The following is a 16,895-nucleotide window of genomic DNA, read 5'->3' as shown; positions in this document are numbered from 1 at the left end:
ACTCTAGCCTGGGTGAAAGAGCAAGACTCCATCTCAAAAAAAAAAAAAAAAAAAAAAAAAAAAAAAAAAATTCAACAATAGCTGCATTCTAACAACTTTCTTGCATTGTTTCTTTAAATTATCACAATCACAAGGGCCAAGTTTACTCTTGTGTTTGAGTAGAAGAATTGCATTCTATCTGTCCCTTTGAACTCCTAAGATCAGGAAATAAAAAGCCAGAGACTTTTGGGTGAGGATGTGAACAGAGTTGTATGTCTAATTCAGTAGCTAGAATTTTGGGCAACAACACCTGGCCTCTGATGGCAACAGCTACTCCAGCCACCAACAGAAAGTCTCTAGGCCTTCCACAGCCATCACATCTGGGAGCTTTACAGTTATCCTGCAAACCATCAGTGATAAAAGGCATGTTATCACTGATGCAGAATTATGAAAGTACTTTTGGTCAGGCATGGGACACCTGGCTAGCTGCTTGGCGCTAGTACTCCCCTACCTTAAGGCTGTTTCTCTAGACCTTGCTCATGGAGCAAATCCTAACTAAAACTTTTATTAGGAGGTTTCTGTCTTTCCCATCCTAGTAAACAGAAATTAGAAATTTGTTAAGTAAAATATTTCTGATATTATTGTATATAAAACTTAATGATACACTGCAATTTTAGACTTTTTGTCTTATGTACCCAACCCCCGCAATTATTCTTTCATATGCATGGGACTCCTGAGAAAACTCTGACCTTGCAATAAGTTTTTCAGGATTTGATTCAGCCTATAGTCAATTTTTGTATTCAGCCTGTACTCAATTTTTATCGTCTAGAGATTCGATAAGTGGTCATAATTTTTATGCAAATTGTTTATTTTTAAATATTTGAATCGATATACTAACTTGCATTTTATTTGAAAAACATGAAAGAAATAAATGTAAAATAAATAGATTGATAGTTGAACAGGTAAATAAAGTTCTAAAACTGGTATATCAACCACGTCTTCCAATGGTTTGTAAATACGGCCATTAGAATTTCTTTCAGGCTAAAACTGGGCATTCAAAGCTGATGGTGAAGATGGACATTGCTTTTCCAAAGAGCTGTTTATTCGTTAGGCTGCTTCTTACATATAAAGCAGTGGGAAAAAAGTGAAAAGAAAACACTTTCTCAGGCTTCTCATGATTTTTTAATCTATTCTGTGCAAAAATATGGCTTACAATTTATTGCTGAAATGTAGGAACTTGAAGATTCCCAGTCCACACTTTTAAATTTAACAAGTATCTCAATTACTTGCAAGGTAATCACTTCCAGAACTTTACTGTGTGACATTACCAGGTATGCCCCTTCCACTCATTCAGAGAAATTCTCTCAAGAGCCATGGACCCAAAAATGCCCAACTGAGAACATGACAATTCATTTTTTTTGTTTTATAAAGAAATAAACCAGTAATTTGTATCATTTTTCTTCCATGAGGCAAGAAGCTACAACAATCATTACTTTATAATAATGTTGATTTTACTAAAATGTTTTTGAAACGAACAATAGGAGATGACAAACCCATGTTTGCATCAGATACTAACCACTTCCACCTGGAAGATTTTTTTTTCTATACTTCAGCAAAGATGTAAAATAACATTTAAGATTCTAGAGAATGTTATTTTCTTAGTGTTGCTTAAAGTTTATTTTCCAAATAACAAAAGCATTTTCTAACACAGTTAAAACTTAACCAGTTTGTTTAAGCAACAAGTTGGTCTAATAGTTTTCCTCTGAGCCTTTGATCTTTCTTTGACATTGATCATCTTCCTTCACCCATTTCCTTGTCAAAGAAAGGAAGAATTTAATGGGTGCAAATACATTTCTTTGAATCAAAGTTCTATATCATAATAATTTTTCTCTATTACAGATAGAGGTGTTGTTGATATAGAAGTTTGGGATGAATGTGTACCGGCCCAGAATAAGGGTCCTGAAGGTTTGGATTTTTTAAAATTAAAATGCTTGTTGGAAGTTTGCTACATCTTTTCTTCTTATTTTGTTTTTCTTCTAAAGAAAATCTCAGTAAAACATTTCAGTCTATGAATGTTAGTTAGCTGTGTTCTGTGTGTTTATAAAACTGTATAAGCTACATTTCATTGGGAGGTTAGAATGCAAGATAGAGGGTTGGAGACTGAAGTACATTTTTATCTTACTTTGAATTTTGTATTACAAAATGACAGATCAGACCATACAATGAGACTCATAGTCCGCTAATCGAAGGATCCTTTAAAGATATATTTTTTCCTTTCTTACTTACTCTCATGTTTGCTAAGAGCCAACTAATTCCTAAGTGATCACTTTTGATAAGTAAACTCCAGAATGACAAGATTTATCTACGGCAAGTATGTTCAGCAGCCAGGACTCATTAAGGTCTTACTGCCTGTTGTGCCAAAGAGACGCCGTTCTAACATTAGCTTCTAAATTCCATGGTAAATTAATTAATTAATAACTATATTGATATAAATGGTCTAGATATTTTGGAGCATTTCAAGAAATGGACATTTAACAGAGTAATGAGTGCTCAATTTGCAGTTGACTGTCGTTAATCAAATCGGTCATTGAGTTCTCACTTTAGAACTCTGGTTTTGTTTCTCTTGCAGTACTTTCATTATTTTCTGTATGAAAACAGACTTATTTCTAAGTACCATAAGGGGAAGATGATAATGAATTTGTGTTCTTAATTTGACATAGTTTGTTAACCTTTGAAACAATTCAAATTCCGATTCCCAACTCGTGGCTTTAAAAATTGGTCACCTCCCATATTTCTTCATCTGGTTATTTTGCTGAGATTGTGTACAGCAACTATTCATCTGGTTATTTTGCTGAGATTGTGTACAGCAATTATTTTTTAAAATAAAGTTAATGTCCATAAACAAACAATGCTCTCTCTTTCTCTCTCTCTCGCTCTCTCTCTCTCTCTATATATATATAAAGTTGATCCAATCTGCTATAGGTAAATTGAGCATTGAAGCCCTCCAATGTTATCACAATTTCTTCAGTTGAGTTGAGTCATTACAGTATAATCAGGAAAATTCAGCCACAATCTTCAGGCATCTTGACTCTGCTAAAGCAAAAAGAATGCTTTCACTTCCGTTCTTCTGCTAAATAAAGACTGGTCAGGAAATAATTCAACTATATATAATTAATTTAGGAGACCTCAATTATCTCCTGATGTTCATTGATTTTTGGTATTCTTGAATAACTAGCATGACACCAAACCAAAAATGTATGCAATGCTATATGCCACAAATTCCCCAGGCTTCAGATTGAAACTCTTAAGTTGTTTTGACTGGGCAACTAACAGCAGTTTAGATAGTTCTGTACAAATTTAGAGATATGAGATGCAAAGCCAGGACTGTATTCCAGCACATTCTTCTTGTCAGAACCATTTAAATCACCATCTTACACAAGTACATATTGAAACTCAACTTTAAGTGTTTTATTTTTATGTACATTTCATTTTTTCCAGAAATAAAATATCTAAATACAGACAGACTGTAATGTTGTATATGTATAGCTTTCAACAATACTTGATCTGAATAAATGCTCTGTACATTAAGTTTGTCTTTTTAATGGCCTTCACAGCTACATTGATAAAATGAATTCCTCATATCCTTTTTTCTTAACCAATAACAAGCAGAGAGACAAGTACAAGTTAATATTAATAAGCAGCTCAAATAACACTTGGTTAAACTATGTACAATACAAACCATTCATACAAATGAAGACTAGGATATTGAATTTGTTACAATATGTGTAGTAAAGATAAGACAGACACTTATAACTTACATGGTGTCTGCCAGGCATTTCCCTTCTTATATAATGATCAGAACTTATTTTAAGCAGCCTTAGCTGGTGTCAACTTCACAAAAGTCCAATGATTGGTGATGAAAGTTGTTATCCCAATGTCTGCCCACATGTAAATTCCAAATGTTTGCTCATCTTTACTGAGAACAGGCCCCTTTCAAAGAAAAAAGAGCCATCTTGGACCACTTTGAATGTGCCTACTGTATGCTGGAAAAAAGTTACTACATTTTGTTGTGTTTGTAAAATAAAGAATACTGAGCTCTAAAGACACATTTTTCCATTTTAACAAGCAGATACTCCTACAGTAGTATTTACCAGTACAGCTACTCCAAGCAGTAGGAATGCATGAGTGGAGATTATTGATTAGCATGTACTCAAGACTTTAAAAGAGATTTCCATAACAGCAACTGTTAGAAACATTCTCTGTCTAGTTAATCCTTCCGTTTGATGATAGTTGATCCTGAACCATTATGAGTCAGACAATGAAAGCCCTCTCAACAGGAATCATGATAGACGCAAGCTGAAATGTGCATGACGGTGTGTTTGTGTACCTCTATATGTGAGAGCATGTCTTCAGGTGTGAATTCAAAATCTGTGATGATTTACAATTATACTGAGGGATGAAGCTGACTGGGCAGAAATTACATCAGAGTGTTTTCCACTAGTGTATTTTGCAGCCAGTTGACAAGAGCAGCAGTGTAGACACATTCCAGGCAACAGATGTGACCTTCTTCTTTGAGGTAACAGCCCTGTCATATGACCTTTAATTCCTCAGGCTTCAGTCTCACCCCCATGTTCACCTTCATCCCGAGGGAAAGTAAGGTGTGTCACTGTGGTAGTTGTAGTCAGGGCACACTTTCTGTACCAGTTTATAATCTGTACTATAAAAGGAAATGTAAATACAGATCACCTTAAAGGGCTTGGAGCAGAGCCAGGATACATGACTTTGGGTTTGCTCCTGGTAACAGGTTTTTGAAGGGTCATAGTTGCAGAGTGTGTTCTTGGTAGCCTTGTCAACCTTTTCATATTCAATGCGACAATTAAAAGACTTGGAATCTTTGGCATCAATCACGGTTTGTTGTGCCAAGTCAAATTCCACGATTTTTGTAGGGGGTACCAAGCTGACAGATACATTCCCTTGACCAGTTGAATTATGCCTGAAATAAACACTAAATGTCCCATTGCCATGATCTACAATTTTCCCAGTTATCAACAGGTTCAGCTTCACTGTTTTGATGTTGGAATGAAAATCGCCCCATCCAAACATTTTCTTAAACTTGCCCGTTTTAACAATGGGCCTTCTCTTGGCCCTGGGCCGAGGCTCTTGAAGGTCTGTGGAGTTCCTCAGCCAGTCCCAGAGGTCTTGCTCAGAATAAGGTTCTGGGGTGTCATATCTCAGGTCCAAATCTGTATCATTCTCTTTGCCACGAAAAGTCTGTGACAGGAGTCGGCTGATAGACAAGTCTTTGCTGCTTTCTGTCCATATGTGCTTTAGTGTGGATTTGCTGCTTCCTGATTTCAGAAGTTCTGACTTTCCACCGTTCGTTAAATTGGCACATGTGACCTGAAAACAGAAGAGAAAAATGGCATTTACATCTCTGCATCTGAGAATAACACCCAATGCATAGATCTAAGCCTTCTCTGAGTCTCAGGATTAAATAATTACACTTTTTTTTAAAAGCACCGCATCTGAGAAGAACACCCAAAGCAGAGATCTAAGCCCCCTCTCCCAGAGTCTCAGAATTAAATAATTACGTTTTAAAAGCACCATCAGCATCTGGCCAATATTTTTTAATATGTGATAAAACACCACTTATATTTTTGTATAACAATGGAAGAAGGGAGATGTGGGTGGAAAAACTACTAAATATGACCTGAAAATTATATAAAACCACTGGTTAATGGAAGAAAAGGCCACCCAGCATGAATAAAGCAAAGTAAATTCAAATATAAACCAAAGTAATTACTTCTTAGCACAAAAATTCAAACATTTTTGAAATCAAATTTTATAAATCATTATGTTCTTTTTCTATTTCAAAATTACCCTAAGCTTTAAAACTGTATGATTCTCTGGACACAGAGAGGCAAACAGCACACACCAGAGCCTGTTGAGGGGTGGAGAGGTGAGGGGAGGGAACTTAGAGAACGGGTCAATAGGTGCGGCAAAACACCATGGCACATGTATGCTTGTGTAACAAACCTGCATATTCTGCACATGTATCCCATTTTGTTAGAAGAAATATATAAATATGAAATAAACTGTGATTCTCAGACATATGTCAACTGACACCCTTTAGACTATTTCGTTATCCATATTACAGTCATATTAGAAAAGTTAGTCTTGCAAAGAGACTCTGGTATATTTTAACCGGTCAAAACAAAATAACATGTTTACTATCACCTATAATAAGCAATGAATATATTGAATAAGACATAATTTTTTACCTTGCAGGGCTTAACATGTGATCTAGGAACGTGACTTTAAGTAATTGTCAGTTCTAGAGAAACCAACAACATGTGGTCAATGACTGAGAGGTCACTTCAGGGTGGATTGTGAGAGTCACATGCAGACACTGTTCTCCTAGGACCGCAAAATTATTTCTTAGGAAAGAATTGTATTTCGAACTGCACAGAGATACAGAAGAACCAGTGGCCACAATGACCACACTGGCCTGTAGTTAAAGCAGTAACTTCTTATCCTGACATGGAAGAATCAAGGACAGGAGCTAACAGAACTAAGGACCCACGGGAACTAAAATAGCCAAGACCAGTAAACCATTCAATATGCGGACTTGCTGTTTTAAGGTAAGGCTGTTGAATGGAGTCCCCAGCTACCCATTAAAAAGCCACATTTCACAATAGACTTATATTGCCATGCCCCTGGAGAACCAGTTCTGAGTCTTGTCTCAGATACCAGCCTGATTACTACTCAGCAGCTTCATTGGACCCTCCAGTCTCCTTCCACACTGTTCTTAAAATGAATGGTCATTCCTGGAAAGCTTTTTAAAATTCAGGCCCATTAGGAATTATAGCTGTGTTCCAGGGACACTTCCCTAGACTTAGCTGTGTGGGACTCTTGTTAGGATACAAATGTGACCTGAAAATAGCATTTTACTCAACCACTTGTTACTGAAAGGATGCGCTCTCAATCCCTGGAGAGCAAGACCATAAATTCTAGAGCCAGACTCCCTGGAATTCCCTCCCAGCTCTGACACTGCCAAGCTGTGTGCCCCTGGTCAAGTTAGTTAACTTCCCTCTGCCTCTGTTTCCTGAATCTGTAAAATGTAGGCAATATGATATCTACTTCATAAGTTTGTGAGGATTGAGTGAGCTAAACAGGTAAAACCTTTAGAACAGTGGCTGGCATTTGGAAAGGGCTCAATAAATGTAGCTATTATTGTGAATACTAAGCTGATGTTTGAGGAGAATTAGAGAAAGCAACCAAATAATACATATGGAGATCTTGCCTGGGAGAAGTTTTGCACAGGATTACACAGCCAAGTGCTTGGAATGTGGAAAAAAATGGGCTCCCCCAGGGACATAGATGCAGAGAACCTTCGTCATCTCAACTAGAACAAAAGCTCTTAGATCTTGTAAACCTTCTTTTCAAGCCAAGAAGCAGTCTCCTATTTGCCTGTTCAAATTGAGGTAACATGAGTGTGGCTGGACTATTCTCACCACAGAAAGAATACCAGCTGAAGCTGTCATCTTCCTAATAATGCTGAGCTTAAAAACCCTGCAAGTTTGTCTCCATGAAAATTCATTGCATCAGAGATAAAACGCAACTTCATCATGCGTTTGTATCCCATGACAGCACCCTGAAAAGCCAAAACTGAAACTCTGGGTAGGCTAACAAAAAAAACTGTGAACTCTTTGAGGCTGCTAGCTCGAGTACAGTTGCATCTGCTGTGATCCCCAAGGCAATAGCAATGCCCTCATGGAAAGATGCAGAGGGCCATTGTGTGCAGAGATGAAGGAAGAATAGATAACACTGACCAATGGAGAATCAGTCTCTGGACTATTGTCAGGGCAAGGTCACATCTAAGAGAAACACGGACCAGCCTCGTGTATGCAGTCAGTCCTTTTAAAGTGTCTGCTCCCCACAATAAGCAAACACCCTGCTGTGGAGTCAAATGGGGCTATCAGACGGCCATTAGTGGTCTTGGGGAAAATATAGGAAATTGACAGAAGGTTATCTTCGCTGCCAACTTTTTTTTAGTTGTAAGTACTTCCCTTTCACTTTTGCTCAACCCTTGCTTTGGTATCTCTCCTTTCCCCTATGTACCCAAACTCTTTCCTGTTTACAGATTTTCTTCATACCAAAATAGTATCGCAGAAATGGACCACATTCAAACAGTAGAAATGACTAATAACAGCAAAATCGTTGCTTTAGCACAAGTAATTTTTAATAAGGACTAAATATTAATTTCTAATAGGATAAAGTTGAAAGGAAAAATATTCCTTGGGAGAGGAGGATTATGCATAGGAATATATAACTTTTCTTAAGAAAAAAGCAATACATTTCCAATCTATCCTGACAATAAAGCCATTCCATTATGGAAAAATATTTACTCTCACATCAAAAGGATTATCCTTAGCAGCTCCAGAGTTAGTATTTTTCATTATAGTTATAAAACTAATAAAAACAACTACAGCTTTCCCACTCATTTTCTGAAGGTACTGCATTTCAAAAGATACTATTTTTCTGTAACACAGAGTAGCTATAATGTAAAATTTAAAACTAACATTAATCAGTAAAAATAGTACATACCTTTGGATTTGGGAGACTGTGTGTGTGTGTGTGCGTGAATAAAATCTAATTGATTAAACATCTGAATCTGCACTTGCCTAGTTACATAAGCATTGCCCTTATCACAGTTCCTACATTTATGCCTCAGTATAAAACAAATACATGTGTATCCTCTTCTCTGGCTTTTGCCTGGAATTATCTAGACAGTTTCCCATTGTTTGTGTGGCAAAAAGAATAAATACAGGAATGCATTTAGTAGTGGCTTAGTGCTTATATCTCAGCATCAGCAAAGGGCTGTATTGAGATGCTTTCATGATGCACTGGCTAATGAAGCAGTAACGAAATTATCCCAAAGAAGGAGGAAAAGAGGGATTTACAGCTCAATTTACCAGTAGCATAGGGGGAAATGAAAGTAAAACTTGTGGAAGTAGTGAATATGGTTTCAAGAAGGAAGAATCAATCTATTCAAAAAGTTGCTAAGACTCCTCTGACAGACAAACCTCTGATTTTCAGGTAGAATAAAAATTGTTTAGTTCTAAATTATGTTATCCACAGCTGTAGTAATTATGGGAGTGCACTCTGGAGTCAGACTGCCTGAATCCCAGTCCAGGTTCTGATCTTTAACAGCTGTGTGATGTGGGCAAGTTACTTAACTTGTTTAAGCTTCACTGTTTCTCTCTTCTAGGGAATAGAAGAATAATATCAATCTTCTTCACAGGGCTGTTGTGAGGATTAAATAGGGCACTCCATTCAAATTACTAAGGACAGTACCTGGAACACTGTTCAATAGTCGTCTTAGCTGTTGTCATCACCAGATATTTTTACCTCTGAATCTCACTACATAATATTTTATGTAAATTATTAATTTATAATCGGATTTAAGAGCATAAAGCATTCTTGAAAGAAAATCTCCCTTCAATATAACCACAAACATAAAGCAAACAATTAAAAAAAAAAGCATGCTGTGGGGGAAAGCGGGGGAGAAGAAAATGGGGAGAAAATGAGCATAAAGTTTTAGTTAATCAGGTTGAAATAAATTCTAGAGATCTGCTTTGCAACATTTGTACTTATAGTCAATATTGTATTTTACAGTTTAAAAATTTGTTAAGAGGGTAGAACTCACATTAAGTGCTCATACCACAATAAAATAATTTTTTAAATTTATATTAAGGATAGCATCAATATATATTGAACTCCAAACAATGTAACATGAATTGAAATGTTGAAAAGGAAAGAAAGCAAGCATATATTTTTGAAAGTGCTGCTGTGACTGCCTAAATATATGGCAAATAAAGTAAGTGATTGAACTCAAGTTAGCTAAAATTATGCTCATCCTTTGTTATTAAACAGCTTAGCTTCCAAATGCAATGAATTATTTGCCTTCAGTGATATAATGGGAAAGGCTTCAAGTGGTGCTGACAGTCAGGAAGCCTCTCTGGAACATCTCAGTGTGGGTAAAGAATCAAAGCAGGTTTCAGCTGTAATCATCATTAACACTGTCTTAAATATTCTTATTCCCTCAGTCCTTGCTTTTTACTTAGGAAGGGAGTAGGGCAATGTCTAAAAGAGAATATAAATCTGGAAAAAAACAGGAAGGTTCCTTAGCAAAGTCCCCAGAGCTGTTCAAGACTAACAACTCCAATTTCTTTTGTCTTATTAACAAAATAGCTGTATAGTGAGACTACAAGAATATTGAGTGGAATAAAGAAATGCAAACATCAATGGCACATGGTCCTGGCTCTCGAGAAGTTCACAGTCTACTGGAGGCATCAATTAAGCCATCACAGTGTGATGCAACCAGCACTATGTGTAACATTCCAGCAATCATAGTCAAAGTTGAAAGGTAGAGAAGGTATAACAGAAGAGATGATCCTTAGATGTGGTAGATAAAAGAGGCTTGGTACTTTAACAGCTAGTGCATGGGCCAGAGGAGTTCTTCCAAGAATAAAGAACAGGGCCGGGGACAGTAGCTCTCGCCTGAAATCCTAGCACTTTGGGAGGCCAAGGCAGGAGGATAAAGAGGTCAAGAGATCAGATCATCCTGGCCAACATGGTGACACCCTGTCTCTACTAAAAATACAAAAAAAAAAAAAAAAAAAAAATTAGCTGGGCGTGGTGGCACATGCCTGTAGTCCCAGCAACTAGGGAGGCAGAGGCAGGAGAATTGCTTGAATCAGGGAAACAGAGGTTGCAGTGAGCCAAGATTGCACCACTGCACTCCAGCCTGGCGACAGAGCAAGACTCTGTTTCGGGGCAGACAGTGCCAAAGCACAGAGCAGAGAAAGGACGTGTCAAATGTAAGAATGAAAAAAAAACTTATTATTCTCTAACTAAAATTTTACATTCATAGACAAACATCTCTCTACTCCACCCACCCCCACCCCCCAGGTATCCACCATTTTACTCTGTTTTTATGAGTTCAACTTTTTTACACTCCACATTTAAGTGAGACCATGCTAAGAGAGTAGATTTTAAGCATTCTCACCATACACAAAAAACAAGTATGTGAGATAATGCATATGGTAAATAGCTTGATTTAGCCATTCCACAATGTATACATATCTCATAGCCTTATACTGTACACCATAATTATACACAATTTTCACTTGTCAATAAAGAAAGGGGAAAAAAAGAAAATAGCTTCTTACTGCTGAACGCCAGGGAGCATTACTTTAGAGGAGAAATAGAAGAGCTTGCCAAAAACTTGTAGAAGGCAGGCTACGGCCAAATCGTAAAGGTGCTGCTAAGGCATTTAAACTTAATCTTACAGGAAATAGGGAGTCACTACATTTCATTTTGTTTTCTTTTTAAGTAGGTCATCCTGGCTCTAGAAGAATCGCTGAGTAGATATTAAAGGGTGGTTTAATAGAGACCTTGAAGGAAGGGAGACTAATTAAATAACTAATTGCAATATTTCATTTGAAAAAGAAGTGAACCTGAACCAAAACAGTAGCAGAGAAAAAGAGGAAGAAATGATGGATCTAAGGGATAATTCAGACGTAGGATTAACTAAGCTTGATGATTCTTGGCTAAATAGAAACATAAAAAAGGTTGAGAAAGCTTGCTTGCATCTGCAAGGAAAACAGTGGTAACAAGTTGGCTGGAAAATAAAATTAAAACTCATAGAAATATTGGGAGATTAAGCGCCTGTGGGAAGTCATTCTGGTGATGCCATCCACTAGGAAACTGGGAACAAGGATCTGAAGGTCTGGAGACATGAGAGGGATGGTGATGTTGATTTTGTAGTATGAGTAGATGGTATTGTGCAAGAAACGTGTGGTAATAAAGAAGTATGCTAAGAATATCTTTAAAAATGTTAGCACTTTGAGGACAGGCAGAAGAGGAGCCAGTTGATCATCAGAAGTGGTAAGGACTATAGCATAAAGATGATTACCAAAAAACAAACAAACAAACAAAAAACCAAAGCATATGGACCTTTTTCTATAAATATTTTCTATAATATTATAATGAAAACACCAAATATACTTCCTGAGGATAATTTTCCATGTCAAAAGTGGCCAATGCCCATTACCAAAGGAGCTGGCTCTCTAGTTCAATGATACCATTTCCACAAATTTGATGTGTCTCATTGTTTCAGAAACATTCAGACATAAAGATTATTAACATAAGTGTATGCATTTTTAAATATATGATTCTTTTGAGACTATATACAAATAGGGGCATAGACAAGGGTCATTTTCTTCAACATTAAACAAAGACCAAGCTTAGATCTAACATCAAAGGAGCATACCTAGGACAGAAACTGAGTTTGGGGCTAGAGAGAAAAAACCACCATTGGATGGTGGAAGTGTGAGCACATGAAGAGTTGCCATGCTTTGGCAGGGCGCGGTGGCTCATGCCTGCAATCCCAGCACTTTGGGAGGCCGAGGCGGGCGGATCACAAGGTCGGGAGGTAGAGACCATCCTGGCTAACACACTGAAACCCCGTCTCTACTGAAAATACAAAAAAATTGGCCGGGCACGGTGGTGGGTGCCTGTGGTCCCAGCTACTCGGGAGGCTGAGGCGGGAGAACAGCATGAACTCGGGAGGCGGAGCTTGCAGTGAACCAAGATCACGCCACTGCACTCCAGCCTGGGCCACAGAGCGAGACTCAATCTCAAAAAAAAAAAAGAAAAGAAAAAAAAAGAGTTGCCACACTTTGCTCTAGCTCCTCCTATACATGTCTTAGGAGCATAATTACACACTGCTTGTTCTAATATCATCTCATAATAGGTTTATAGTAATAATGCCATAATGCCAATACATTATCTTTTAAAATATTGTTGAAAGACACCATTTTGGGGGAATAAACCACTTCTCGACTTCACTCCCACTTCAACTATTCTGGCTGTACGTGACAAAATGTTTACTTCTTTATATATAAAATCTTCAACTAGAAGTGTCTCCAAACATTTGTATATCTCTTTTATATATACAATCTTCAACTAGAAGTGTCTCCAAACATTTGTATATCTCTTTTTATAAATGAGAAATGAGATGTCTTTTAACTTTTACCAACCTGCATATTTTACTGTTGATCTATTACTGTTCAGCATAAATAATCTCAAGATTGCTTTGAAAAATTTATATTTATTTCACCAAATGTATGAACACAAACAAAAATGTTTAAAAAAAAAACTATTGCTCAAGCAACATTGCTCACTGGTGAATAAGTAACCAACAAACAAACATTGCTCTATGATTACAACTTCATTTTAGTGGTTTATGGTTACCTATGTTCAATATATGTTGCATAATATTGACTACTATTGGTTAAGGGCACACTATATCACTGACATTGTAATTAGCACTTTACATATGGCATTGTATTACATTTAAACCACACACACGCACACACGCACACACTCACTAACTTTGAGGTCAATAGCAAAGTCTTCAGCTTACTGAAGAGATATGGAAACTCAAATAGCACTTGTCCAAAATCACTGCTGGTAAGCTACTTCTCACTATTCCACAGGATATATCCTTTATTTTTAAAAGCCATTTCAATAATGAAATTTTACATTAATTTATGCTTATTAAAACATTAAACATTATAGGAAATTAATAAAATAAAATGTAAAAGATGTTCTTCATCATCAACCCCTGCTTCCTTGCAATCCCACCCCCACCAAAGATAAAACCTGTTCAAATTTTGGTATATATTGTTCCTAAGTATTTTCTTTTTCATATATAAATATCTTACATACATGGTGTCTATTTTATAAATTACATTATATATTTTCCAATTAACAAAATATCTCAGAGACACATCTCAGCTAGTATATTCAGATATATCACCTGTATTTTATTAACTAAACATTCTACAATGCACATCACCTTTATTTTAAACTTAAGTATAGTTAGAATTCTATATTATGAATATACCGTATTTTTACATTTTATATACGTTTTGTGTGATAGATCCTTAATTATTACATTGTTTTATAGCCAGGTTACATAGTTACTATTTTAGCCTCAATTCCAATGTTTTCTTTGCTCATTGCTTTTTCAGATATCCCACTCCCCTCTCTCATTGAATTTTCATTTTTTCTGGGTGTATATATTTGTATGATTACTTTAAAAGAAGTTCATATAGGATAAAATGAGTCATCCATACCCAAAAGTGTCTTTACTGGCCATAGACTTACATGGATATAGTATTCCTTCATCTTTTAATTTGTTTTGCTTTTTCTCTCTGCAAAGAAATTTAGAATTCTATCTCAGGCACTCTGAATCTTACAAGGTAGATTACGTGGTGCCCATGTTTTCACTAGACCCTTTCTTAACTAGTTTAGAGAAAGGTAGGCAGCTATTTAAAGATGTGTTAGACTCTTTTTCATACAATTATCTCAAGAGTTTAGTTTCCCAAGACTACAGTCTTAAGAATATTTGAAAGATGTTCTTTCTATTTTATGCCATGTGTATCTTGGCAGAAGGAGTGCCTAGCATAGAGTAAGCACTTAATAAATTACCTGTATGGTTCATATTCTTAGCTACATCTATTTTAATAGTGAATGTTATTTGATTCACAATCAATATTTTAGGGGGACACATGGCACTCAGAGATTCCTTTCTTACAAATTTAGAGCCTGTATTTTATTGATAATACCCAAAGTACCTGCATTTTACATAAGCCAGAGGAAAGTAGTGTTTTAATACCTCAAAAATACATTCCTTCCTGTAAATCAAAACAACAGTGATATATCACCTCACACCTGTCAGCATAACTATTATGAGAAGGTCAAACAATAATCAGTGCTGAACACGATGTGGAGAAAGGGAACAGCTGTACACTGTGGATGGGATTATAACTTGGTAGAGAGATTATGGAAAACAATCTGGAGATTCCTCAAAAAACTACAACTACAAATAGAACTACCATTTGATCCAGCAATCCCACTTCTGGGTTTATATCCAAAGAAAATGAAATCAGGGTCTCAAAAAAAATCTGCATTTTATATTCATTGCAGCATTATTCACAATTGCCAAGATATAGACCTAAGTGTCCATCAAGGGATGAATGGAAAAAGAAGATATGAGCTATATAATTAATGAGAAATATGCATAATGGATGAGAAAATTATTAAGAAAGAAGGAAATCCTGTCATTTGTAGCAGCATGGATGAACCTACAGGACATTGTGCTAAGTAAAATAAGCTAGACAGAAACAAATACTGCATGATCTCACTTGTATGTGGAATCCAAATAAGTGGAACTCAGAAACAGGAAGTAGACTGGTATTTGCCAGAGGCTGGGGAATGGAGGAAATTGAAAGATGTTTGTTAAAGGATACAAACATTTGATTATGTGATGAATAAGTTCTGGAGTTCTAATGTACAACATGGTGACTACAGTTATTAACAATGTATTCTATACTTGAAATTTGCTAAGAGAGTAGGAGAGTTCTCACTACATACACACACACAAAATGGTAACTATGTGAGGTAATGGATATTTTAATTAGCTTGGTTGTGGTAATCATTTCACAGTGTATACATAAATCAAAACATCACATTATAAGCCTTGAGTATATACCATTTTTATTGGTCAATTACATATCAGTAAAGCTGGGAATAAATAAATAAATTTAAAGGAAAAAAAAAACAAAAGCAAAAAACAAGCAACAAAAAAGGTACATCATTTCCTTCATGCAAAGCAGTGCTTCAGGTACCACAGAGCTGCATTAACAATGGAAAAGCAGAAAAGGAGCTTCATGGCTCTCTCTTAACCCAGTAGGCTCCAGGAGCCTGTATTACATAGGAACTAAGAGAATGGGCTTTGCAGTCAGAGATCATAGGTCTAAATGCAAATCCTGCTACTTCATCATTGTCTATCTCTTAGAGCCACATTTTATCCATTTAAAAAATTTAGATAATACCTAACTCATTGGGTTTTTGTGAAGACAAAACTGAAAAATTTGTATGTAGTGCATGTCATGGGGATAAATACATGCCTGTATTTATTCTTCTTGCCATCCAAACAATGGCAAGCTATCTATGTAATTCTGGGTAAAAATCAGATAAGAGGATATGCACTTATTTCCTTCATTTCTTTTATACTAAGGTATAAATATAGGGGCTACAAATATAAGGCATAAATATAGCGTTACATGCAGTTTGAGCACAACACATGAGACCTATTATGCCAAGTTAGGTTATGAAACCCTGAAGGAGAAAGGAAAATAAGGCTTTCAGAATGTGCACTGCTATTCTATACTTGTCTCCTGACTGGAAACATTACATCAGCTCAAATAATCCAAACAAACTGAAGTGGGAATTAGCATAATTCTGACAACTCTGTGGTCATCTTTAGAGGTACAGTCACACACTGCCTACTGATGTTCAGACAAAGATGGACTGCATATACAATGGTGGTCCCAGGAGATTATAATGGAGCTGAAAAATTCCTATCACCTAATAATGTCTTGATGATGCTGACCCTGTGTAGGCCTAGGCTAATATGTGTGCTTGTGTCTTCATTTTTAAAAATGTTTAAAAAGCAAAAGATATAAAAATTTAAAAAATAGAAAAAGTTTATAGAATAAGGATGGAAAGAAAGAAAATATTTTGTACAGCTTTATAGTGTGTTTGTGTTTTAACCTAAGTGTTATTACACAATAATCAAAAGTTTTAAAAAATTAAAAGTTTATAAAGAAAAAAGGTACAGTATGCTAAGGTTATTTTAAAGAAAGAAAAAAGAGGAAAATAGGTGACTGGCAAGATGACCAAATAGGAACAGCTCCAGTCTGCAGCTCCCAGCAAGATCAATGCAAAAGGCGGGTGACTTCTGCATTTCCAGCTGAGGTACGCAGCTCATCTCACAGGGA

General features: G+C 36.2%; 1 protein-coding gene across 1 annotated transcript in view, besides 2 other annotated features; it reads right to left on the bottom strand.

Annotated features, from left to right (window-relative positions):
• Positions 1-3,425: 3,425 nt before the first annotated feature.
• Positions 3,426-16,895, bottom strand: part of NXPH1 (neurexophilin 1) — a 319,353-nt gene continuing 305,883 nt past the window's right edge. The window contains exon 3 of the mRNA NM_152745.3: positions 3,426-5,379. Coding sequence (NP_689958.1) covers positions 4,618-5,379 — 762 coding nt within the window. The 3' untranslated portion in view covers positions 3,426-4,617. The remainder of the gene's footprint in view (positions 5,380-16,895) is intronic.
• Positions 4,094-4,388: a silencer, noted in NCBI's record as "tiled region #4649; HepG2 Repressive non-DNase unmatched - State 24:Quies, and K562 Repressive DNase matched - State 5:Enh". NCBI's record gives its function as "represses a minimal TATA promoter and a strong SV40 promoter by Sharpr-MPRA in HepG2 and K562 cells {active_cell/tissue: HepG2 | K562}" and the evidence as "EXISTENCE:reporter gene assay evidence [ECO:0000049][PMID:27701403]".
• Positions 12,026-12,526: an enhancer, noted in NCBI's record as "H3K4me1 hESC enhancer chr7:8783491-8783991 (GRCh37/hg19 assembly coordinates)". NCBI's record gives its function as "activates a minimal SCP1, AML or CMV promoter by ChIP-STARR-seq in primed H9 embryonic stem cells {active_cell/tissue: H9 hESC(primed)}" and the evidence as "EXISTENCE:reporter gene assay evidence [ECO:0000049][PMID:30033119]".

This window comes from Homo sapiens, chromosome 7 (assembly GCF_000001405.40).
Source record: "Homo sapiens chromosome 7, GRCh38.p14 Primary Assembly".
Classification (NCBI taxonomy): Eukaryota; Metazoa; Chordata; class Mammalia; order Primates; family Hominidae; genus Homo; species Homo sapiens.
The sequence above is the reverse complement of the archived record's forward strand: the minus strand, read 5'-3'. Positions and strand labels throughout refer to the sequence as shown.